At 38.5% G+C, this 27,794-nt stretch overlaps 1 protein-coding gene across 16 annotated transcripts in view, besides 1 other annotated feature; it reads right to left on the bottom strand.

Annotated features, from left to right (window-relative positions):
• RANBP17 (RAN binding protein 17) overlaps positions 1-27,794 on the bottom strand; it is a 437,998-nt gene that overhangs the window by 208,020 nt on the left and 202,184 nt on the right. The gene's annotated exons all lie outside the window — the stretch shown is intronic.
• Positions 2,280-2,847: an enhancer, noted in NCBI's record as "H3K27ac-H3K4me1 hESC enhancer chr5:170516153-170516720 (GRCh37/hg19 assembly coordinates)". NCBI's record gives its function as "activates a minimal SCP1, AML or CMV promoter by ChIP-STARR-seq in primed H9 embryonic stem cells {active_cell/tissue: H9 hESC(primed)}" and the evidence as "EXISTENCE:reporter gene assay evidence [ECO:0000049][PMID:30033119]".

Genomic DNA, 27,794 nt, shown 5'->3' with positions numbered 1-27,794 from the left:
ATACCAAAATCCGTGCATATTCCAGTCCTGCAGTTGGCCCTGTGGAACCTGCATATATGAAAAGCTGGTGTATTAGTCTGTTTTCATGCTATTGATAAAGACATACCCAAGACTGGGCGATTTACAAAAGAAAGAAGTTTACTGGACTTACAGTTCCATGTGGCTGAGGAGGCCTCACAATCATGGTGAAAGGTGAAAGGCAAGCCTCACATGGTAGCAGGCAAGAGAGGAACTTGTGTAAGGAAACTCCCCTTATAATACCATCAGATCTCATGAGACTTATTCGCTATCATGAGAACAGCATGGGAAAGATCTGCCCAATGATTCAGTTACCTCCCACCAGGTCCCTCCCACAACACATGGGAATTCAAGATGAGATTTGGGTGGGGACACAGCCAAACCATATCATTCCACTCCTGGCCCCTCCCAAATCTCATGTCCTTACATTTCAAAACCAATCATGCCTTCCCAACAGTCCCCCAAAGTCTTAACTCATTTCAACATTAACTCAAAAGCCCACAGTCCAAAGTCTCATCCAAGAGGAGACAAGACCCTTCTGCCTATGAGCCTGTAAAATCAAAAGCAAGTTAGTTATTTCCTAGACACAATGGGGGTACAGGCATTGGATAAATACAGCCGTTCCAAATGGGGGAAACTGGACAAAACAAACGGGCTAAACGCCCCATGCAAATCTGAAATCCAGTGAGGAAGTAAAATCTTAGAGCTCCAAAATGATCTCCTTTGACTTCATGTCTCACATCCAGGCCATGATGATGCAAGAAGTGGGTTCCCATGGTCTCGGGCAGCTCCACCTCTGTGGCTTTGCAGGGTACAGACTCCCTCCTGGCTGCTTTCATGGGCTGGCATTGAATGTCTGCAGATTTTCCAGATGCACAGTGCAAGCTGTTGGTGGTTCTACCATTCTAGGGTATGGAGGATGGTGGCCCTCTTCTCACAGCTCCACTAGGCAATGTTCCAGAAGGGACTCTGTGAGGGAGCTCTGACCCCACATTTCCCTTCTGCACTGCCCTAGCAGAGGTTCTCCATGAGGGCCTCGCCCCTGCAGCAAAATTTTACCTGGGCATCCAGATGTTTCCGTACATCTTTTGAGGTCTAGGCAGAGGTACTCAAACTTCAATTCTTGACTTCTGTGCACCCGCAGGCTCAACACTATGTGGAAGTCGCCAAGGCTTGGGGCTTCCACCCTCTGAAGCAACAGCCCGGGCTGTACCTTGGGCCCTTTTAATCACAGCTGGAGTGACTGGGACACAGGGCACCAAGTCCCTAGACTGCACAGAGCAGAGGGACCCTGGGCCCTGCCCATGAAACCATTTTTTTTTTTCTCCTAAACCTCTGGGCTTGATGAGAGCAGCTGCTGCAAAGTTCTCTGACATGACCTGGAGACATTTTCCCCATTGTCTTAGTGGTTAACATTCGGCTCCTCCTTACTTCTGCAGCCAGCTTGAATTTCTTCTCAGAAAATGGGATATTCTTTTCTAACACATTGTCAGGCTGCAAATTTTCCAAACTTTTATGCTCTGTTTCCCTTTTAAAACTGAATGCCTTTAACAGCACCCAAGTCACCTCTTGAATGCTTTGCTGTTTAGAAATTTATTCTGCCAGATAGCCTAAATCATCTCTCTCGAATTCAAATTCCACAAATCTCTAGGGCAGGGTCAAAATGCTGGCAGTCTCTTTGCTAAAACATAACAAGAGTCACCTTTGCTCCAGTTCCCAACAAGTTCCTCATCTCCATCTGAGACCACCTCAGCCTGGATTTCACTGTCCATATCATTATCAGCATTTTGGTCAAAGCCATTCAACAAGTCTCTAGGGAGTTCCAAACTCTTCCACATTTTCCTATCTTCTTCTGAGCCCTCAAAACTGTTTCAGTCTCTGCCTGTTACCCAGTTGCAAAGTTGCTTCCATATTTTCGGGTCTCTTTTCAGCAGTGCCCCACTCTCCTGGTACCCATTTACTATACTGGTCCATTTTCACATTGCTGATAAAGACATAACCACGAAGATGGCCGAACAGGAACAGCTCCGGTCTACAGCTCCCAGTGTGAGCGACGCAGAAGACGGGTGATTTCTGCATTTCCATCTGAGGTACCGGGTGCATCTCACTAGGGAGTGCCAGACAGTGGGCGCAGGCCAGTGGGTGCACGCACCGTGCGCGAGCCTAAGCAGGGCGAGGCATTGCCTCACCTGGGAAGTGCAAGGGGTCAGGGAGTTCCCTTTCCGAGTCAAAGAAAGGGGTGACGAACGCACCTGGAAAATCGGGTCACTCCCACCCGAATATTGCGCTTTTCAGACCGGCTTAAAAAACGGCGCACCACGAGATTATATCCCACACCTGGCTCGGAGGGTCCTACGCCCACGGAATCTCACTGATTGCTAGCACAGCAGTCTGAGATCAAACTGCAAGGCAGCAGCGAGGCCGGGGGAGGGGCGCCCGCCATTGCCCAGGCTTGCTTAGGTAAACAAAGCAGCCGGGAAGCTCGAGCTGGGTGGAGCCCACCACAGCTCAAGGAGGCCTGCCTGCCTCTGTAGGCTCCACCTCTGGGGGCAGGGCACAGACAAACAAAAAGACAGCAGTAACCTCTGCAAACTTAAATGTCCCTGTCTGACAGCTTTGAAGAGAGCAGTGGTTCTCCCAGCACGCAGCTGGAGATCTGAGAACGGGCAGACTGCCTCCTCAAGTGGGTCCCTGACCCGTGACCCCCGAGCAGCCTAACTGGGAGGCCCCCCCCAGCAGGGGCACACTGACACCTCACACTGCAGGGTATTCCAACAGACCTGCAGCTGAGGGTCCTGTCTGTTAGAAGGAAAACAAACAGAAAGGACATCCACACCGAAAACCCATCTGTACATCACCATCATCAAAGACCAAAAGTAGATAAAACCACAAAGATGGGGAAAAAACAGAGCAGAAAAACTGGAAACTCTAAAACGCAGAGCACCTCTCCTCCTCCAAAGGAACGCAGTTCCTCACCAGCAACGGAACAAAGCTGGATGGAGAATGACTTTGACGAGCTGAGAGAAGAAGGCTTCAGACGATCAAATTACTCTGAGCTACAGGAGGACATTCAAACCAAAGGCAAAGAAGTTGAAAACTTTGAAAAAAATTTAGATGAATGTATAACTAGAATAACCAATAAAGAGAAGTACTTAAAGGAGCTGATGGAGCTGAAAACCAAGGCTCGAGAACTACGTGAAGAATGCAGAAGCCTCAGGAGCCGATGCGATCAACTGGAAGAAAGGGTATCAGTGATGGAAGATGAAATGAACGAAATCAAGCGAGAAGGGAAGTTTAGAGAAAAAAGAATAAAAAGAAAGGAGCAAAGCCTCCAAGAAATATGGGACTATGTGAAAAGACCAAATCTACGTCTGATTGGTGTACCTGAAAGTGACGGGGAGAATGGAAACAAGTTGGAAAACACTCTGCAGGATATTATCCAGGAGAACTTCCCCAATCTAGCAAGGCAGGCCAACATTCAGATTCAGGAAATACAGAGAATGCCACAAAGATACTCCTCGAGAAGAGCAACTCCAAGACACATAATTGTCACATCCTCCAAGGTTGAAATGCAGAAAAAAATGTTAAGGGCAGCCAGAGAGAAAGGTCATGTTACTTACAAAGGGAAGCCCACCAAACCAACAGCGAATCTCTCTGCAGAAACCCTATAAGCCAGAAGAGTGGGGGCCAATATTCAACATTCTTAAAGAAAAGAATTTTCAACCCAGAATTTCATATCCAGCCAAACTAAGCTTCATAAGTGAAGGAGAAATAAAATACTTTACAGACAAGCAAATGCTGACCGATTTTGTCACCACCAGGCCTGCCCTAAAAGAGCTCCTGAAGGAAGCACTAAACATGGAAAGGAACAACCGGTACCAGCCGCTGCAAAATCATGCCAAAATGTCAAGACCATCGAGACTAGGAAGAAACTGCATCAACTAACGAGCAAAATCACCAGCTAACATCATAATGACAGGATCAAATTCACACATAACAATATTAACTTTAAATATAAATGGACTAAATTCTCCAATTAAAAGACACAGACTGGCAAATTGGATAAAGAGTCAAGATCCATCAGTGTGCTGTATTCAGGAAACCCATCTCACATGCAGAGACACACATAGGCTCAAAATAAAAGGATGGAGGAAGATCTACCAAGCAAATGGAAAACAAAAAAAGGCAGGGGTTGCAATCCTAGTCTCTGATAAAACAGACTTTAAACCAACAAAGATCAAAAGAGACAAAGAAGGCCATTACATAATGGTAAAGGGATCAATTCAACAAGAAGAGCTAACTATCCTAAATATATATGCACCCAATACGGGAGCACCCAGATTCATAAAGCAAGTCCTGAGTGACCTACAAAGAGACTTAGACTCCCACACATTAATAATGGGAGACTTTAACACCCCACTGTCAACATTAGACAGATCAACAAGACAGAAAGTCAACAAGGATATCCAGGAATTGAACTCAGCTCTGCACCAAGCAGACCTAATAGACATCTACACTACTCTCCACCCCAAATCAACAGAATATACATTTTTTTCAGCACCACACCACACCTATTCCAAAATTGACCACATAGCTGGAAGTAAAGCTCTCCTCAGCAAATGTAAAAGAACAGAAATTATAACAAACTATCTCTCAGACCACAGTGCAATCAAACTAGAACTCAGGATTAAGAATCCCACTCAAAGCTGCACAACTACATGGAAACTGAACAACCTGCTCCTGAATGACTACTGGGTACATAACGAAATGAAGGCAGAAATAAAGATGTTCTTTGAAACCAATGAGAACAAAGACACAACATACCAGAATCTCTGGGACGCATTCAAAGCAGTGTGTAGAGGGAAATTTATAGCACTAAATGCCCACAAGAGAAAGCAGGAAAGATCCAAAATTGACACCCTAACATCACAATTAAAAGAACTAGAAAAGCAAGAGCAAACACATTCAAAAGCTAGCAGAAGGCAAGAAATAACTAAAATCAGAGCAGAACTGAAGGAAATAGAGACACAAAAAACCCTTCAAAAAATCAATGAATCCAGGAGCTGGTTTTTTGAAAGGATCAACAAAATTGATAGACCGCTAGCAAGACTAATGAAGAAAAAAAGAGAGAAGAATCAAATAGACACAATAAAAAATGATAAAGGGGATATCACCACCGATCCCACAGAAATACAAACTACCATCAGGGAATACTACAAACACCTCTACGCAAATAAACTAGAAAATCTAGAAGAAATGGATAAATTCCTCGACACATACACTCTCCCAAGACTAAACCAGGAAGAAGTTGAATCTGTGAATAGACCAATAACAGGAGCTGAAATTGTGGCAATAATCAATAGTTTACCAACCAAAAAGAGTCCAGGACCAGATGGATTCACAGCCGAATTCTACCAGAGGTACAAGGAGGAACTGGTACCATTCCTTCTGAAACTATTCCAATCAATAGAAAAAGAGGGAATCCTCCCTAACTCATTTTATGAGGCCAGCATCATTCTGATACCAAAGCCTGGCAGAGACACAACCAAAAAGAGAATTTTAGACCAATATCCTTGATGAACATTGATACAAAAATCCTCAATAAAATACTGGCAAACCGAATCCAGCAGCACATCAAAACGCTTATCCACCATGATCAAGTGGGCTTCATCCCTGGGATGCAAGGCTGGTTCAATATACGCAAATCAATAAATGTAATCCAGCATATAAACAGAGCCAAAGACAAAAACCACATGATTATCTCAACAGATGTAGAAAAAGCCTTTGACAAAATTCAACAACCCTTCATGCTAAAAACTCTCAATAAATTAGGTATTGATGGGACGTATCTCAAAATAGTAAGAGCTATCTATGACAAACCCACAGCCAATATCATACTGAATGGGCAAAAACTGGAAGCATTCCCTTTGAAAACTGGCACAAGACAGGGATGCCCTCTCTCACCACTCCTATTCAACATAGTGTTGGAAGTTCTGGCCAGGGCAATTAGGCAGGAGAAGGAAATAAAGGGTATTCAATTAGGAAAAGAGGAAGTCAAATTGTCCCTGTTTGCAGATGACATGATTGTATATCTAGAAAACCCCATTGTCTCAGCCCAAAATCTCCTTAAGCTGATAAGCAACTTCAGCAAAGTCTCAGGATACAAAATCAATGTACAAAAATCACAAGCATTCTTATACACCAACAACAGACAAACAGAGAGCCAAATCATGAGTGAACTCCCATTCACAATTGCTTCAAAGAGAATAAAATACCTAGGAATCCAACTTACAAGGGATGTGAAGGACCTCTTCAAGGAGAACTACAAACCACTGCTCAAGGAAATAAAAGAGGATACAAACAAATGGAAGAACATTCCATGCTCATGGGTAGGAAGAATCAATATCGTGAAAATGGCCATACTGCCCAAGGTAATTTACAGATTCAATGCCATCCCCATCAAGCTACCAATGACTTTCTTCACAGAATTGGAAAAAACTACTTTAAAGTTCATATGGAACCAAAAAAGAGCCTGCATTGCCAAGTCAATCCTAAGCCAAAAGAACAAAGCTAGAGGCATCACACTCCCTGACTTCAAACTACACTACAAGGCTACAGTAACCAAAACAGCATGGTACTGGTACCAAAACAGAGATATAGATCAATGGAACAGAACAGAGCCCTCAGAAATAACGCTGCATATCTACAACTATCTGATCTTTGACAAACCTGAGAAAAACAAGAAATGGGGAAAGGATTCCCTATTTAATAAATGGTGCTGGGAAAACTGGCTAGCCATATGTAGGAAGCTGAAACTGGATCCCTTCCTTACACCTTATACAAAAATCAATTCAAGATGGATTAAAGATTTAAACGTTAGACCTAAAACCATAAAAACCCTAGAAGAAAACCTAGGCATTACCATTCAGGACATAGGCATGGGCAAGGACTTCATGTCCAAAACACCAAAAGCAATGGCAACAAAAGCCAAAATTGACAAATGGGATCTAATTAAACTAAAGAGCTTCTGCACAGCAAAAGAAACCACCATCAGAGTGAACAGGCAACCTACAAAATGGGAGAAAATTTTCGCAACCTACTCATCTGACAAAGGGCTAATATCCAGAATCTACAATGAACTCAAACAAATTTACAAGAAAAAAACAAACAACCCCATCAAAAAGTGGGCGAAGGACATGAACAGACACTTCTCAAAAGAAGACATTTATGCAGCCAAAAAACACATGAAAAAATGCTCATCATCACTGGCCATCAGAGAAATGCAAATCAAAACCACAATGAGATACCATCTCACACCAGTTAGAATGGCAATCATTAAAAAGTCAGGAAACAACAGGTGCTGGAGAGGATGTGGAGAAATAGGAACACTTTTACACTGTTGGTGGGACTGTGAACTAGTTCAACCATTGTGCAAGTCAGTGTGGCGATTCCTCAGGGATCTAGAACTAGAAATATCATTTGACCCAGCCATCCCATTACTGGGTATATACCCAAAGGACTATAAATCATGCTGCTATAAAGACACATGCACACATATGTTTATTGTGGCACTATTCAAAATAGCAAAGACTTGGAACCAACCCAAATGTCCAACAATGATAGACTGGATTAAGAAAATGTGGCACATATACACCATGGAATACTATGCAGCCATAAAAAATGATGAGTTCATGTCCTTTGTAGGGACATGGATGGAATTGGAAATCATCATTCTCAGTAAACTATCGCAAGAACAAAAAAACAAACACTGCATATTCTCACTCATAGGTGGGAATTGAACTATGAGAACACATGGACACAGGAAGGGGAATATCACACTCTGGGGACTGTGGTGGGGTCGGGGGAGGGGGGAGGGATAGCATTGGGAGATATACCTAATGCTAGATGACGAGTTAGTGGGTGCAGCGCACCAGCATGGCACATGTATACATATGTAACTAACCTGCACAATGTGCACATGTACCCTAAAACTTAAAGTATAATTAAAAAAAAAAAAGACATAACCACAACTGGGCAATTTACAAAAGAATGAGGTTTATTGGACTTACAGTTCCAAGTGGCTGGGGAGGCCTTACGATCATGGCAAAAGGTGAAAGGCACGTCTCACATGGCAGCAGGCAAGAGAGGAGCTTATGTAAGGAAACTCCCCCTTATAATATCATCAGATGTTGTGAGACTTATTTGCTATCATGAGAACAGCATGGGAAAGACCTGCCCCATGATTCACTTACCTCCCACTGGGTTCCTCCCACAACATGTGGGAATTCAAGATGAGATTTGGATGGGGACACAGCCACACCATATCAGCTGGCCCTCCACATATATAGGTTTTGCATTACATTAATAATGTATTTTTCCATCCTTGACTGAACAGAGAAAAAATAATGTAGAAGTTGACATGCACAGTTCAAACTTGTGTTGTTCAAGGGTCAACTGTAATTGTCTTAGTTCAGGCTGCTGTAACAGAATACCATAGACCAGGTGGCTTAGAAACAACAGAAATTTATTTCTCACAGCTCTGAAGATTGGAAGTCCAATATAAGGATGCCAGCATAGTCAGGTCTGGTGAGGGCCCTCTTCTGGGTTGCAGACTACCAATTTTTCATTCTCTCCTTACATGGTGGAAGGAGTGGGCTAGCTTTTTGGCATCTTTTTATAAGGGCACTTATGTCTTTCATGAAGGTTCCACTCTCATGTCTTAATTACCTCTTAAAGGTCCCACCTCCAAATACCATCATATTGGGATTAGATTTCAACATATGAATGTTGAGGGCACACAAATATGCAGTCCATGACAGTAACCAATGCAAAATGTAAATGCAAAGTAACTAGGGAATTCCTTTGATATTTACCAAGAAGATTAAAAGTTCAAAGTCAAACAAGAAAAGAAAATGAATTAAATTGAATACTTTATTCTGAAAAGCCGTCTTTCATTTGTTCAATTTATAATCCCTGTTGGGGAGCTGACTGTCTTTTAAAAATGGACATGTTTACTTGATAGGAGAGGCAACTACGATTTTCTTCCTTGAAACAAGAAGTAAATAAATTCAGCTGTTCCTTTTTTTTTTTTCTTTAAAGAGGTTACATCTGATCATACCCAAAATGCTACAGTCTATCTAAGGTTACACACCAAATCCAGGTTACAAAAACTTGTACTAGCAAATAAGATACCTAAATTGTCTGGCAAAGCAGAAGTTATTTAAGAATTCAAATTCTTTCACATATGTTAACTAAAATAATTCCCACAATAACTGTTTAATAGGTTCTATCACCCTCATTTTGCAGACAAGAAAGCTCAGGCCTTAAAAGGTTATGTGACCTTCCAATTTATGTGACCAGAAAATTAGGGGCAGAGTCACACTAGAACAGAGGATTCCTGATTTCTACTACATTCTCTTTTTAGAGGTACTGGGTCAGTGTAAAAATGTTGAGCAAAGGGTAGATGAGACTATAATTTTATCTGAGATGCATACATTGATTATAGCTTCTGCCACACTGAGATTGCCTAAGGATCATCCTCTCATCACAAGTTGAAATGTTTCTTACAAGCTTAGCAGTTAATTACCTATTCGAACTGATCAACTGGCTCTTTTATCAAATATAGAATTAATCCTCATGTACCTGAAAACTTCAGGCTCCCAGAAACACAAGAAAATGGCTGATTAATCATCATTCCTTTACTGACACCTGAAGGTGCCTGGAGTCACAATGCCACATATATTCTATATGTGTGTGTGTATTTTAATGAAAAACAAAGGTAAGATATTCTATTTGAGATGAGCGCAAGTCAGGTGTGTAACACAGTATTGCCAATTCAAAGAAGGCAACTGGATATTAGAAAAATATCTGCTTTAAGGGCTAGGAAGAAGAACATTTAGAAATGCTGTAACAAAAATTATTTTTAAGGTTTTATTAATTAGAAGTATGTGAAGGAAAAAATGACTTCAAGTCAAAATTCTAAGCCTAAAAAGTTACACAATTTTAGAGTTAGAAGGATTCTCAGGTCATTTCATTTATTTCAGTTTTAATAAGGAAATGAAAAACGACAAACATTAAGTGACTGCTCTAAAACAGATTCATGAAAGAGTAGGAAAAGAACTGTTCATCTGATAGTAATTGCATTCGACATATCTAACATATTACATGTATTACAATAAACTGGTAAGAAGCTATCTTATTTCCTTTATAAAAATTCCAATTAAGTAATGTGCCTTTAAATGTAAAATAACATCAAATCAGGAGGTTTTATGTGAAAATTTTTATTTAGCAGTGTATGTTCCATGATATTTATTATTACAAAACTAAGTTGATTTTCTTAGTTTGAATTACAAAGACTATTTCCAAATCACAAAATAAATAAGCTGCTTTCTCAAAGATAACAGTTGTACAATGATATGTACAAATTAAACAGCTGGAAAGTTAACTATTTTGTAAAGTCAAGATTATTATGTTATAAACAAAGGACACTACATGATACGTTCAGTTAATATTTCAACACTTGGCATTAGAGTGCAGCTGATTGTGAATACACTGCTAACTACTATACAGCAATCTAATATCTCATAAATCATTCATAATAAATCAAATCTGCAGAGTATACTGGGAAGCAGTTCTTAACCCATATTCTTTTATTCAATGACCATGATGTAGCTCTTATCCTCTTATTAAATGATGTGAAGGCCATCACTTATATTAGTTTTACTGACTAGGGGGAAAAGGAGAAAGAAAATAAGAGATACCACTACCGAAGAAATAGAACCAAGGGCAAGAACACCTATTGAGTGCCTGTCCTCAGAGACACAGCTGGAAAGTAGTAAAAGGATAAGCTTTAAACTCAGATGGACTAGGGTTTTAAGTATCAGTTCTATCACTAGTCAGACGAACTTAGAGCCTCTGGGCTCCAATTTTGTCATCTATAAAGTGGGGTCAAATAATCTACCTTAAAACATCACACAGTCAATGCCCAGTACAAAGGAGGTTCTCAGTATATAAAAACTGTTATTATTTAGTTGAGGAAAAAGTTTGGCACATAAATTACACTTATGATGAAAACAAAATTGTAAGATATGGTCCTCTCTTTTCATACAAAAATGCCCCAAAAGGCTCTACATTACCAAGGCCAGTCTTACACAGCTTCTTTCTTATAATAATGATGAAGAGTGTTCTATGCAGAATGTTCTATTTGCAGCAGCGATTCATTGTGTGCATGGAAAAAACTGCTGACACGTAGAGAAGATATTTTCCCGTAAAAGGTTGAAGTCCTTAAGCAGCAAAAAACACCAACGTCCATCATCTTTAAACCCTATTGATTTCTGGTGAAGATTTAAAAGGCTGTTTACTTATTTCCCATCATTTCTGTCAGAGCTGTAACAGTTCTCTTCCCACTGAATAAACCTCACATGATCCTCTTGGTGATTCAGGTCAGACAAAATGTCAAACTCCTAACGCTAAGTGCTTTCACATTAAAAATTCATATCAAATCACCAAGTAAAATCCAAACAAGAAGTCAGACATGTAAACAATTCACAAAAAAGAGTTGCACTGACTATTATAGAATATAGGTGCACTGTAGCTGTGGAAAAAAAGGTTTGGCAACAGGTCAGAGCACTTTGTCCTTTATCCTGGCATTTACACTGTCATTTCCTATTTTAAAATCAGTAGGCCATGCTGGACTCAAGCCGTGTGTGTGTGTGTGTGTGTGTGTGTGTGTGTTTTGTGTGTGTGTATGTAAGATAATATATCACTAGTATCGCCCCAAGTAATTAGCAATCATTTGGTTCTACAAGTTCAACATGGCCTTTTGTTTTAAAGCATAAAGTGTGTGGGCAGAGGGAGTATTTGCTTAAAAAGAAAACAAAACAAAACACTGACAGGTTTTCTTCCAGGCATGAGTGGATCCGAAGGGTAAAAAAAATGTTATCAGGATCAGTTTATCTCCATCTCTCAGTGTTTCTTTTGACCTTTTTCATTCACTCTCAAGCTAGCTATTTGAATATGGTAGCCCCTAAATACCAGTCAAGACTTATATTTTCCAAGCTACAAATTCAGTGAAATGAGAACTTCTCTTCCCAAATACCGACACACCTTAAAGATAATGCAGTTTCTGTTCCACACCACTGCAATCAAGCAAGTCATACAAATACTTGTGTCTGCAAAAAAAATTGTTGCATTTACATGTTTACATGATACTATAGTCTATTACCTGTGCAATCACACTATGTCTAAAAAATAATGTATACACCTTAATTAAAACATACTTTATTGCTAAAAAAATGCTAACAATCACCTGAGCCTTCAGTGAACTGTAATTTTTTTGCTGGCAGAGGGTCTGGCCTCGATGTTGGTGTCTTCTGACCGATAAGGGTGGTAGTGGCTGAAGGTTAGTTGGCTTATGGCAATTTCTTAAAATAAAACAACATTGAAATTTGCTGCACTGATTGACTTCTTTTCACAAAAAATTCCTCTGCAACATACAATGCTGTTTGATAGCATTTGACCCACAGGAGAACGACTTTCAAAACTGGAGTCAATGCTCTCAAACCTTGCCATCACTTTATCAACTAATGTTATGTAATTTTCTAAATCTTTTGTCATTTCAACAACGTTCACGGCATCTTCACCACAAGTAGATTCCATCTCAAGATACCATTTTATTTGTTTATTCATAAGAAGAAACTCATCTGTTTGATTTTTATCATGAGATTAAAGTAATTCAGTCACATCTTCAGGCTCCACTTCTAATCTCACAGGTCTCTTGCTGTTTCAACCACATCTGCAGTTATTTCCGATCCTGAAGTCTTGAACCCCTCAGAGTCATCCATGAGGGTTAGAATCAACTCCTTTCAGAGTCAATATATTAATGTTAATATACTGACCTACTTCCATGAATCACAAATGTTCTTAGTGGTATCCAGAATGGTGAAACCTTTCCAGAAGGTTTTCAATTTACTTTGCCCAGATCCATCAGAGAAATCACTATCTATGGCAGCTGCAGTCTTATGAAATGTATTTATCAAATGATAAGACCTGAAAGTCAAAACCACTCCTTGATCCACAAACTGCAGAATGGATGTTGTTAGCAGACATGAAAACAACAATATTCTTGTACATCTCCACCAGAGCTCTTGCATGACCAAGTGTGTGGTCAATGAGCAATAATCTTTTGAAAATTAATCTTTTTTTCTTACCAGTAGGTCTCAACAGTGGGCTTAAAACGTTCAATGCTGTAAAAAGATGTCCTGTCATCCAGACTTTGCTGTTCCATTTCTAGAGCACTGATAGATTTAGCATAATTCTTAATGGCTCTAGGATTTTCAGGTGGTAAGTGAGCACTGGCTTCAACTTAAAGCCACCAGCTGGATTAGCCTGTACTAAGAGAATCAGCCTGTCTTTTGAAGCTTTCAAGCCAGGCATTGACTTCTCTTCTCTAGCTAGGAAAGTTCTAGATGGCATTTTCTTCAACAGAAGACTGTTTCATCTACATTGAAAATCTGTTGTTTTGAGTCAGGCATGGTGGCTCATGCCCGTAATCCCAGCACTTTGGGAGGCCAAGGCAGGTGGATTACTTGATGTCAGGAGTTTGAGACCAGCCTTGCCAACATGGTGAAACTCCGTCTCTACCAAAAAATTAGCTGGGCGTGGTGGCAGGTGCCTGTAATCCCAGCTACTCAGGTGGCTGAGGCATGAGAATCACTTGGGAGGCTGAGTGAGACTCGAAAATCACTTGAACCCAGGAGGCAGAGGTTGCAGTGAACCAGATTGTGTCACTTCACTCTAGCCTGTGCGGTACAGTGAGACTCAGTCTCAAAAAAAAAAAAAAAAAGAAAGAAAAGAAAAGAAAATCTGTTGTTTAGTGAAGCCACATTCACCAATCATCTTAGCTAGCTCTTTTGGACAACCTGCCGCAACTTCTCCACCAGCACTTGCTGCTCCACCTTGCACCTTTATGTTACGGAGATGGCTTCTTTCCTTAAACCTCATGAACCAACCTCTGCTAGCTTCCAACTTTTCTTCTGTAGCTTCCTCACCTCTCTCAGTCTTCATAGAAGTGAATAGAGTTAGGATTTTGCTCTGGATTAGGCTTTGTCTTGAGGGAATGTTATGGCTGGTTTGATCTTCTATCCAGACAAGTACAATTTTCTCCATACCAGCAATAAGGCTACTTCACTTATCATTTGTATGTTCACTGAAGTAGCACTTTTAATATCTTGGTGCTTTTCCTGTGACTTAAAAATTCATGTTTTTTAAAAAAGTAATACAGCACAAAATGCAAAATGCAGAGAGAAATGTGTATTAAAAAGCAATTACCCTTTCCTTTCTGCCCATCAGCCTCAAATTCTAACCCTTAGAAACCACAGTTATTAGTTTGTTGTGTTTTTTTATAGAACTGTTCTATGCATGTTCATGTTGTCTCTAACTTAGCTTATGGTGTCTTCTCTTTTAGGGCGATTTTAAATTTGTATATATTGAACAACCTGTCTTGTTCTGTAAATTTAAACACGTTCCTTTGGCACTGTATTTCCTGTATTTTATTAGTAAGACAGAGACTTCAGGCTTGCCTTTTTGTTTTATGGCAAGATTACTTCATAACTTACCTTGTACACTTCTTTTTTTTTTTGAGATGGAGTCTCGCTCTGTTGCTCAGGCTGGAGTGCAGTGGCGTGATCTCGGCTCACTTCAAGCTCGGCCTACCGGGTTCACGCCATTCTCCTGCCTCAGCTTCCCGAGTAGCTGGGACTACAGGCGCCCGCCACCACACCCGGCTAATTTTTTTGTAGTTTTAGTAGAGACGGGGTTTCACCGTGTTTGCCAGGATGGTCTCTATCTTCTGACCTCATGATCCACCTGCCTCGGCCTCCCAAAGTGCTGGGATTACAGGGGTGAGTCAATGCGCCCGGCATGTTGTACACCTTTTTTAGGAGCCATATAATGGCTGGTTGTCTCTACATTGCCAATGATCATTATTTCATTAAAGATTACAAAAATGGTAATACTCTAATTCTCATTCCTTCCTCCTTCATTTATTTGTTAGATATGTCCATAGAGAAAACATTCCTCTACTCAATTACTTGCTTACCTCAAGTTACAACTGGTATAGTCAAATTGGATATAAATGTTGGATTTTTTTCCCTAATATCTTTCAAGGGAGTTTTTCTTTAGTAAGATCATGAACACATGGATTTAAACATGTTTGATATTAGTACTGATACTCTCTAATATCAACAGAGACTTTTCTACATACAAGATGATATCATCTGCATCCCCCTCTTTGGCCTTTGGAAGTCTCTTCAAGTTGGATTCAGCTTATCCTGAATCTTTTTGACCCAAACCTAGTAGTTTTCGACATCTTTTTTGCTATTTGGTATAACAAGGTATTCCAGACTTATCTATTTCCTGCCATAGATCTTGAATCAGACATTTCTCCCAGGAGCCCTTGTTCATTTAAGTGGAAAATAAATACTTTTGTAGTCACATTTCATTATTGCTGAAGTGGTTCTTATTTCTAGGCCTATTCAGTGGATGGAGCTAGGATATATGCACTTGTTTTGAAGGCAAAGTCAACATAAGATTATAGTGATATTTCCAGTAGAAATTTAGCGCTTCAGGATATTGACTGAAACTCAGATATCTTTCATTGTTTCTTCTTTCTCCAGAACCCAAAATCCCAGTTTTGCTATACCAACAAAATTACTTATTATCTTATCACAAAACACAAATCTTGTAATCTTAGAATAAGTCAGCTTTTTTACTATCCACAGTGTCACTACAGAAAGCAGTTTACAGTTTTAAAGGTTGTTTTCATCCTTAGGTTACATATCACACAAGAGTCAAATTAACTGTTTCAAGTATTTTGTCATTACAAGCAGTGCTGCAGTAAATATAGTCATATGTACATCTTTTTGTCTTCTGATGCAATTTAATTATTTTTTAACAACTTATTGAGATATAATCCACATACCATATAAGTCCCCATTTAAAGTGTGTTTTTTTAATTTTTTCTTTTTTTTCACAAGTCTCACTCTGACGCCCAGGCTGCAGTGCAGTGGCATGATCTCGGCTCACTGCAACCTCCGCCTCCTAGGTTCAAGCGATTCTCATGCCTCAGCCTCCCAAGTAGCTGGGATTACAGGTGTGTGTCACCATGCCCAGCTAATTTTTGTATTTTTAGCAGAGACAGGGTTTCGCCATCGTGGCCAGTCTGGTCTCAAACTGCTGGACTCAAGCAATCTGCCCACCTTGGCCTCCCAAAGTGCTGGGATTACAGGCTTGAGCCACCACGCCTGGCCTAAAGTGTTTATTCAGTGACTTTTAGTATATTCACAGAGTTGTGCAACTGTCACCACAATCAATTTTAGAACAGTTTTCACCCCCAAAAGAAACACCACTCTCCTTAGCCATCATTCTCCAAGCCTCCCTGTATCCAGCCCTTGGCAATCAATAATGTACTTTCTGTTCCTTAGAATTGCCTACTCTGGACATTTCATATAAATGAAATCTATATAACACATGGGTTATTGTGACTTATTTCATTTATCATTTTTTGAAGTTTCACCCATGTTGTAGCATGTGCCAATACTTTACTTTTATCATTTCTTTAATCAAGTTGGCACACTTACAAGCAGAAAAGAAGATATGGTCTTTTATATTACATTTTGTAAATCTATGTCATTTAATTCTAAATCATCTAAAATAATTTCTCTGAGTTTTTCCTATTATATTGCAGGAAAGGCAAATTATCATATTAGAAAGAAAGGAGACTAAAGCAAGAACTGCATTTAAATCCTGTCCCTGCTAAATTTCATTTTTGGCAAGTTATTAACATTTATGCCCAATGTTCCATTATTGGAACGCTAAGCTTGTGGGAGTTATTTATATCCTGCTGCTCAAGGTCATCGCCAAGGTCTGATTTTTCACAAAAAAAAATTTTGCAGCCGCCGGCATAAATGGGTTAACCCCCGAGTTTCAGTTTTCTTATCTGCAAAGTGGGTAAACATCACATACCTAACATGGATTGAGACAGCATGTGCAAAAGCTCCCAGCATCTAAAGCAGAGAAGACAACAACCAACTTTTAAAATAAGCCTTCCTTTTAGAACACAAAGTCTCAAAAATAGTGTGTAAATAATATAAACAAGCTTTTTCAGGTATTGATATAATTTATAAAGAGCCCAAAACAAGCCACAGATAGCAATAACATGTAATAGTGCACTTAACCTAAAAAATGGACAAAGATTATAATAGGCAATTAATAAAAGGATGATCAACGAAGAGATGCTCATTCATTTGCATAAATATTTGTTGACAGAATGTACCTTTATTAAATAAACATTTTGTCTTGAAACAATTTTAAAGTTACGGGAAAGTTGCAAAGAGAGTACAGAGAGTTCCCAGATATCCTCTATTGAGCTTCTCCTAACGTTAGCATCTTCCATAATCAAGGTACATTTGTCAAAATTAAATGATTAATACTGGTACAATAATATTATTAACTGAATTACAGACTTTATGTGTATTTCACCAGTTTTCCCACTAATATCTTTTTTTGATTCTAAGATCCAATCTAGGATTCCATTTGCATTTAATCGTCGTGTTTCCTTGGTCTCTCCAATCTGATAGCTTTTCAGACTTTTCCTTGTTTTTTATGGCTTTGACACTTGTGAAGAGTAGTAATCAGGTATTTCATATTTTGTAAAATTTCCTTCAATCTGAGTTTTAATATGTTCTCATGATCAGGCTGGGATTGTGGGTTATGGGACTAATACCACAGATGTGCTACCACATGAGTTATCACTGGTGATTTTAACACTTAACACTTGACTAAGGTGGAGTCTGACTGATTTCCTAACTATAAAGTTATTCCTTTTTTCTTTTCCATATTGTCCTCTTTGGAAACAAATCACTAAGTCCAGTCCACAAGGAGAGAGAAAAGCTCACCTCCAGAAGGGGATAGTATTTATATAATTATTAAAAATTATTCCTTAAGGAAGATTTGTCTGTTTTCTCCGAAGAATTCATCAATTCATTTGTTTATATCAGTATGGATTGAAGGATGTTTTCTGAGTAAAATATAACATCCCATTTTGTTGCTGAAACTGTTCCGTGCTTTAAAAAAAAAAAAAAAGTACCTCCTTACTTTCTGACCCCATAAGATACTCCAGGCTCATCTTGTATTTTACCTGTCCCAGATGCAGCATTAGCCATTTCTCCAGGAAGCCCTGCTTCCTTTTATTGAAAAATGGTATGCAGAAACCAAGATTAGGGTAGACGCTGAATGAGTCTGTAGCTACCGGGGTGACACTGCTTCTAGGCCTTTACACACATGTACACTAAGCCATGTATCCACTCATATCTGAGGTTAGTTCTATATATATTTATCCATATACATATTAAAATAAACATGAATCTCTGCTCATACATCTCTCCAGAGCCAGAGTTCATTCTAGTTTCCCTGTTGTTTACTTGTAACTTCTTACTCTGACAGAGAGAAACTTGGCTCTAAACACCCACAATATGTTCACTTATTGTTCATTCCTAGAATAGAGGTAGAGTAGTTTTAGGACTGCTAATCTGTACCTGTAAGAAACAAATTTACCAACTAGAGTTCAATGTTTTTGTCTTTAGTCTTACATTATCCAGTCAAAACATTACCTGTTTTCCAAAGTTACTTAGGTCAGTTCCTTTCCCCCCTACCACTTTCATTAAGATATGTCATGCATTTATAATATAGTTAGATTCATCAGTTATAGTTTCCATTTCATCCTGGGATCCCCTGACATTTTGGTTGATTTTTTAATTTACACCAGGAAAGTTCATTCTACAAATGAATGGATAGAATCCATCTACCATCCCATTACCACACAGAACAACAGTTCTATCACACCCCTTTTGCAGCTGACCCCTCCCCCACCTCCTGGTAACCACCTATCTGTTTTCTGTTCTTATTAGCTGCCTTTTCCGGTATGTCATGTAAATGGAATAATACTATACACTGCCTTTTAGTTCTAGCTTTGCTCAGCAAAATGCATGTGATATTTATTCATGTTGTTGCAGGAATAACCAACTCACTCCACTTCATGGTTGAGTAGTATTCCACTGTACCACTTACTGAAAGACATCTTGGTTGTTCCTAGTTTTTGTCAATTTATAAATAAAGCTGCTATAAACATTTGCATATAGGTTTCTGTGTGAACAAAAGTTTTCAATACATTTAGGTAAATACCCAGAAGTGATATTTAAGAAACTATCAAACTGACTTCCAAAGTGGCTATGCCATTCTGCATTCCCACTGGCAATAAATGAGAATGCCTGCTGCTCCAGATCCTTGCCATTATTTATTTATTGTCTGTTTGTAACAATTCTAACAACTATGACATAGCATCTAATTGTGATTTTAATTTCCATTCTGTAATGATAAATGATGTTAAGTATCTTTTCATATCCTTGTTTGCCATCCATATATCTTCTTTGGAGAAGTACCTATTCAGATCTTTTGTCTTTTTTTTTTTCAATTAGCTTTTTTGTTTTCTTCCTATATTAGTTTCTTATTACTGCTGTAACAAATTGTCACAAATATGGTGTCTTAAAACAATACAAATTTACTATCTTACAGTTCTGCATGTTAGAAATTTGTCAGACATCTCCCTGGCCTAAAATTAAGGTGTCAGTAGGACTGTGTTCCTTTCTTGAGGTTCTAGGGGAAAGTCCATTTCCATGCTTTTTCTAGCTTCTAGAAATCACGCCTGCCCCTTGGCTCATATTTCTCTTTCTTCATTTTCCAAGCCAACATCATTGGATTGAGTCTTTTTCACATCGTATCTCTGACTTCCTCTTCTACATCATCACTCCCTTTTGGATTAGGATGTAGGCATCTTTGGGTGATGGGGGTGTGGGGGCATTATTCTTCCTATCACACTTACTGGCAAGTTCTTCAGAGTCCTTTGTATATTTTGGATAATCCAAGTCACTTGCTGGACTTGGAATTTCCAAATGTTTTCTCCCATTCAGCACTTGACTTTTCATTCTTGTTAACAGTGCCTTTCTTAGAGTGAAAGTTTAAAAGTTTAAACTTTTGATAATAAAGTCCAATTTCTCAAAAAAGTTTTAATGAGTTGTGTTTTTGGTGTCAATTTTAAGTACTCATCACCTAAGTCAAAATTATGGAGATTTTCTTAAATGTTTTCTTCTAGAAGTTTTATAGTTTTATGTTATACATTTTAGTTCTATGATGCATTCTGAGTTAATTTTTGTACAAGTTGTGTGGTACATGTTGACGTATTGAGGGTCTTTTTTTTTTTTTTTTTTTTTGCATAAAGCTGTTCATTGTTCCAGTACCATTTATTGAAAAAACTACCCTTTTCCTGTGGAATTTCTTTTTAGCTTCTGCCAACAGTCAGTTGATAATATTTGTGTGGGTCTATTTCTGAGCTCTCTATTCTGTCTCACTGAATTATATGTTTATCCTTTGGCCAGGACCCCACTGGCTTGACTTATGTAGCCTTATATTAAAATTGGGTAGTGTGAATTCTCAACTTTGTTCCTCTTTTTCCATTTCAAATTTTGGGGGCTCTTCTAGTTCACTTGCCTTTCCACATAAGTTTTAGAATTAGCTTGTCAATATCTACAAAAAATATGCTGGGATTTTGATCATGATTACACTGAATATATATGTCACACTGGGGCAAACTGACATCTTAACAATATTGAGCTCAATTGCACTAATACTTAATGACATACACATTAAATAAAAGTAAGATACCTCCAGTTACCAGACTTGCAAAGATCACAAAAGAAGGGTTAAAAATGGCGAGGTTACACAGAAACATGAACTGTATGTTTTGCTGGTTAGGTACAAATTGGTTCAATCTTTTTGGAAGGCAAACAGTAATTCATACAAATTTTTTTTTGTGCTTCCTCTTTCACCCAGCAATTTTATTTCTAGGAATTTCTGGCACATATACTTGCAGAACAGTTATGTACCAGAATGTTTACCATAGTACTGAATGTAACATACATATATATTTTAAATTTAAGCTTCTATATTGGAGACAGGTTAAACAAATGGGACTTTCATAAAATGGAAAACAATGCAGTCATTAAGGCAAAACTAAATGTGTAAATAAGAGTAAAAATCAAGTTCTAACTATGATGAGGATACACTGAAGAAGTCTCCATATAGCAGAGAACATGCAGATTAACTCAGAAAACTGATACTAGTATTGTAAAGTGTAGAGGAGGGGAAGGCAAACAGGAAAGAAAACTATCTCATTATTATAATATGAAGAACTTAACTATTATGGGTAATGCATGAGTAGACCATTCTAATTTCTTCTAACATTGACCTGCTTTTGAATCTTCAAACAATTACCATCTCCTGGTCTTGGGTTTTTCCATCTATGTCAGAAATTATTACATATCTAAGTCAGTAGTCTATGGACAGGGCATAGCAAACACATTTTATCCAATTCTCAAAATGATCTTTGATCCAAAAAAGATGAAGAACAGCTAATTTCTAGGAACTTTTCCAGTGTTAACATTATATTTATTCAGATTATATACAGAAACAAACAGCAGAAGTAATTCCAAGTAAGAGAATACATTTTGTGCTAAAACTTTCTTTGAGGAAGGGCTACTAAGTATATTGAAAAAGGAACAAAAATGGCAATCAGATTTTTGTTCTTTATGGTAATTAATTTTGTTGGATCTCAACTTTCTCACCCGTAAAATCAGGAGTCAGAATTAGTCTTATTTCAATTAAAGTGCCCTACAAGTAAGAACATTCTCAGATAATCTGTCCTATTGAAGTTTGGGCTAATTAATAGAACTTGCTTAGTCTGACCTATAGAAAGGTTAGATTTTTTTCTGTCAAGACAGAAAGGAAAAATACAGACATGCTTAGCCTTTAAGGCCATGTTTTAGAAATTTTGTGTACTGAGTTACAAGAGTTCCCGTCTGTTTAATTTTATATTCTTGATAATATTATATTACCTTTCACTTCTTTTACAAGGAGGAGCAGATGCAGGTTTGGCAGACCGTTTTTAGAAGGTTAGATTTCAACAGCACTACAGCAAACCTACCTATGCTTAATCTCTTTTCTGATCTTGTCATCCTATCACTGTATTTTTTTCTAAAGTACTTTGTCTTTACAGATGCTCTTTGACTTATGATGGGGTTACATCCTGACAAACCCATCATGAGTTGAAAATATCTACTACTAAACGTCATAGCTTAGCCTAGCCTACCTTAAATGTGATCAGAACACTTAAATTAGTCTAAAGTTGGGCAAAAGCACCTAACACAAACTCTATTTTATAACACAGTGTTGAATACCTCATTAATTTATTGAACACTGTACTGAAAATGAAAAACAGAATGTGGATACTAAGTATGGTTTTAATTTATGATGCAGAAATAGTATTTTCAGAAATAATGGCTAAATGATGACACAACAATGGCAGGGTAAGAAACTCTAGTAATCAATTCCTCCACTGAAACCATTGAGCTAGCAAGAACTCTCAGAATCAATGATTTCAGAACTCTAGACTCTAGCTGAAGACTTGTGGCATCCAGGTGACTGCTTGATGAATAAAGAAGCTGGTAAATTTCAGCATTTTGCACAGCAACTATCACTTCCAGACCTGCAGAAGGCAGTGAGGGGAGAAAGGCCCAAGTTCCTGGTGCAGCTTCCTGCTGCTAGGGCAGAAAATAAGGACCCTGTCTAACAAAAATCAGAGTTGTATATTTGAATCTGCCTAGTGGTTCAATGACTGGCCAGCAATGTTTCAATCCCCTCAAGTAGAAGTAGATTTCCTGGAGGCCTCTGTTGAAATAATTTAAAGAAACAGAACACCTATTTTTTTTCTCCTTTACTTATTGGTTCCAGGCATTCAGGTAAACTGCTGTCAGGTCACCAGCTGGCTGTAGAGAATATGAAATAGAGACCTCAGTGACCACACATGACAAGGATAGTTTTCGCAAAATATCGCAAAAACATGACAAGGATAGTTTTCGCAAAAATAGTTTGGAAAGTTACTAAATAAACGAGTAACTGCAGCCTTTGAGAAGTATCAGCACCAGCTGGGTGTGGTGGCTCACTGCCTATAATCCCAGGAGTTTGGGAGGCCGAGGCGAGTAGATCACTTGAGGTCAAGAGTTTGACCTTGGCCGACATGGTGAAATCCTGTCTCTACTAAAAATACAAACAAAAATTAGCCGGGCGTGGTGGTGTATGCCTGTAATCCCAGCTACTTGGGTGGCTGAGGCAGGACAATCACTTGAATATGGGAGGCAGAAGTTGCAATGAGCTGAGATCACATCCCTGCACTCCAACCTGGGCAACAGAGTGAGACTCTGTCTCAACAACAACAACAACAACAACAACAACAACAACAAAAGGAAAGTAACAGCAGTGTTCCCTGGGGAGGAAAAATATAATTTTCAGAGTTACCACATTACAATACTCAAAATGTCTACTTCTCAACTAGAAATGACAAAGCATACAGAGAAACCAGGAAAGTATAAGCTATGCACAGGAAGAAAATTGACAAAAACAATTTCTGAGGGAAGCCCATACATTGGATTTACTAGACAAAGACTTTAAATATGTTCAAAGAGCTAAAGAAAAGCATGGAACAGGAATGAAAGGAAACCAGGAGAACAATGTGTGAACAAGTAGGTAATATTAACAAAAAATAGAAGTTATAAAATTAACCAAGCAGGAATTCTGGAGTTGAAAAGCACAATAGCTGAAAGAAAATAAAATTATAAGAGCTGAAATTAAAAAAATCAATATAGGAGTTCAAGAGCACATCTCAGCATCCAGAAGAAAGAATCAGTGAACTTGGAAACAGGGAAATTTACTCAGTCTGAGTATCAGAAAGAAAAAGGATGAAGAAAAATAAACAGTCCAGAAGGAACTTGGGAGAAATGATCAAGCATACCAACTTACACATTATGAGAATTAAAGAAGGAAAAGAGAGGGAGAAAGGAGCAGTAAGGAAGAGAAGAAATAACGAAATGAAAAACACACCAAATTTGCTGAAAGATATGACTCTATAAATCCCAGAAGCTCAGTGAATTGAAGCAGAATAAATTAAAAGAGATCCACACAAAGACACATTATAAAGAAACTGCTGAAATAAAAAGAAAATCTTCAAAGTAGTGAGTAAGAATTGAGTTATCACATACAAAGATTCTCAATAAGACTAACAGCAGGTTTCTCATCAGAAAACATGGAGGTCAGAAGGCAGTGGGATCATCTAACTGCTGAAAGAAGAAAAAAACTGTTGACTAAGCATTTGATATCTAGTAACACTCTCCTTCAAAAATAAAGGAAAAATTAAGACGTTCCTAGATTTAAAAAAATTTTTAAGAAGCTAAAGAAGCCCATTACTAACAGACTAGCCCCATTAAGAAATGCTGAAGGAAGATCTTCAGGTTGAAATGAAAGAAAACATTATACTGTAACTCGAAGGCGTACAGAGAAATAGAGATCTCTGATAAAAGTAAGTACACAGATAAATAAATGCCAATATTATTGTATTTTTGGTTTGTAACCCTTCTTTCTGCTTCCAATATGATTTAAAAGGCATTAACTGTAAATATATGTTAACAAGAACACAATGTATACAGATGTAATTTGTGGCAATAATAATAATGCAAAGGGGAGGGGACAGAGCTAGATATGAGGAGAGTTAATGTATGCTATTCAAGTAATCTTAATATCAAGTCAAAGTAAATTCAGGATGTTTAGTGTAAACCCCATGGACACCACTAAGAAAATAATTTTAAAATTATACAAAATGAATTGGAGAAGGAATTAAAACTGGCACTAGAAAAAATATCAATCAAAGAAGAAGGCAGTATAGGAGGAACTGAGGAACAAAAGCATATAGAAAAACAGCAAAATAGCACAACTAAGTGGTTCATTATTGATAATAACTTAAAATAACCTATATTTTTAATGTAAATAGATTAAACTCACCAATTAAAAGGCAATGGGGAAAACAAAAAACTTTCTTCATATGGCTTTGAATTACAGTGTAGGGTTCTTTCATTTCAGTCTGAAGGACTTCCATTAGCATTTGTTGTCAGACAGGTCTACTAGTGATGGACACCCTTAACTTCTCTCTTTTGAACTTTTTTTAAAAAAGATCTGGGAACGTTTGCACACTGTTGGTGGGAATGTAACTTAGTACAGCCATTATGGAAAACAATATGGAGGCTCCTCAAAAAGTTAAAAACAGAATTACCATATGATCAAGCAATTTCACTACTGGGTATAAATCCAAAGGAAATGAAATAGGTATGTTGAAGAAATATCTCCACTCCCACGTTCACTGCAGCATTATTTGGAACAGACAAGATATGGAATCAACCTAAGTGTCCAACAACAGATGAATGGATAAAGAAAATGTGGTATATACATACAGTGGAATGCTATTCAGCCTTAAAAAAGAAGGATATCCCGTCATTTGCAACAACATGAGTGAACTTGGAAGACATTATGTTAAGTGAAATAAGCTATCCACAGAAAGGTAAATATTGCATAATCTAACTTATATGTGGAATCAAAAAAACCTGAACTCCTCATAAAAGTAGAGAGCAGAATAGTGGTTACCAGGGACTGGAGGAAGGTGAAGTTGGGGACAGATTGGTCAAAGGATACAAAATTCCAGTGGGATAGGAGAAATAAGTTCAAGAAGACTATTGTACAATATGGTAACTATGATTAATAACCATGTATTGCATGCTTGGAACAAATTTAGTTTTATTTCAAACTGAAAATAAAAAATAAACACAGCCGGGTGCAGTTGCTCATGACTGTAATCCCAGCACCTTGGGAGGCCGAGGTGGGCAGATCACTTGAGGTCAGGAGTCTGAGACCAGACTGATCAACATGGTGAAATCCTGTCTCTACTAAAAATACAAAAAATTAGCTGGGCATGGTGGTGGGCGTCTGTAATCTCAGCTACTTAGGAGGCTGGGGCAGGAAAATCACTTGAACCCGGGAGGCAGAGGCTGCAGTGCACCGAGACCATACCACTGCACTTCAATCTGGGCGACAGAGTGAGACTCCGTCTCAAAAAATAATAAAAATAAACACAAGAATAGCTAGGAAATTAATGAATATAAAGATCTGTGAAAGGTGGGAAAGGAGGCAGGGTAGAACTACTCCAAGGTATAAAAACATGCTACAAACCTCTTTCATTAAACAGTATGGTACTGGCACAAGAATAAGCTATCAAATCAATGGAATAAAATATAATTTCTAGAATTAGATCCAATTACATATAAACATCTAGTATATGATAAAACTGGTATCTCAAATCATTGGGTCAAAGATGCTCTGGTTAATACACAGTGTAGGGCGGGGAGGGATCCCAAAGCCCTGGGCCATGGACTGGTACCAGTCCATAGCCTGTTAGGAACTGGGAGTCACAAAGCAGGAGATGAGCGGAGGGCAAGCCAGCATTATCACCTGACAGCTCCGTCTCCTCTCAGGTCAGCAGCAGCATTAGATTATCACAGGAGCAGGAAACCTACTGTAAACTGTGCATGGGAGGGATCTAGGTTGTGTGCTCCTTATGAGAATCTAAGTGATGCCTGATGGTCTGAGGTGGAACAGTTTCATGCCAAAACCGTCCCCTTCACCCCACCCCCCCATTCTGTGGAAAATCTGTCTTCCATGAACCTGGTCCCTAGTGCCAAAAAGGTTGAGGATGGTTGGTGTAGGGAATACCGGATAGCCATTTGAAAAAAGGTAAAAGTAGATTCATTCCTTCCACTACACCCAAGAATAAACTCCAAATGGATCAGAGATATAAATATAAAAAGTAAATCTATATATGCACCAAAAGAAATAATCAGTGAATTCCTCTAAAACCCATCTGTAAGGAAAGGGTTCCTAACTATGACTAAAATCCTAGATGCAATTAAAAACAAAATAAGATGATACGTTGGAAAATGTGCATAGCCAAAGAAAACTCATTAACAAAATCAAAGGTAACTGACAAAATTGGGAAAAACATTCACAGCATATATCGCAGATAAATAGTTACATTCTTAATAAATCAAGGATTTTTTTTTTTTAAATTGAGGAAAATCAACCTATAGAAATCCTATAGAAAAATGGGCAGGGAGGCTGGGCATGGTCACTCATGTCTGTAATCCCAGTACTTTGGGAGGCAGAAGCAGGCAGATCATGTGAGCTCAAGAGTTCGACACCAGCCTACGCAACATGGAGAAACCCCATGTCTATGAAAAAAAAATACAAAAATTAGCTGGGCATGGTGGCATGTGCCTGGGCACAGTGGCATGTGTCTGTAGTCCCAGCTCCTTGGAAGGCTAAAGTGGGAGGATCACTTGAGCCTGGAAGGAGAAGGTTGCAGTGAGCCAAGATCATGCCACTGTACTACAGCCTGGGCAACAGAGTGAAACCCTGTCTGAAAACAAACAAAAAAACAAACAAATGGGCAAAGATTTGAATAAACAACTCAAAGGAGATATAAAAATGCTTGTTAATTATGTAAAAACATATGTAATTTCATTCATATAAAAGAGAAATGCAAATTAAAATTACAATAAAAGTCAATTTTTTCACCCATCAAATTAGCAACAAATTCAAAAGCTTAAAAATACATTCTAGGACTGGCAGCCAAGATGGCCGAATAGGAACAGCTCCCATCTACAGCTCCCAGCGTGAGTGACGCAGAAGACGGGTGATTTCTGCATTTCCATCTGAGGTACTGGGTTCATCTC

The sequence above is a fragment of the Homo sapiens genome, chromosome 5 (assembly GCF_000001405.40).
Source record: "Homo sapiens chromosome 5, GRCh38.p14 Primary Assembly".
Taxonomy (NCBI): Eukaryota; Metazoa; Chordata; class Mammalia; order Primates; family Hominidae; genus Homo; species Homo sapiens.
Note: the sequence above shows the minus strand (reverse complement) of the source record. Positions and strands in the feature narration are given on the sequence as shown.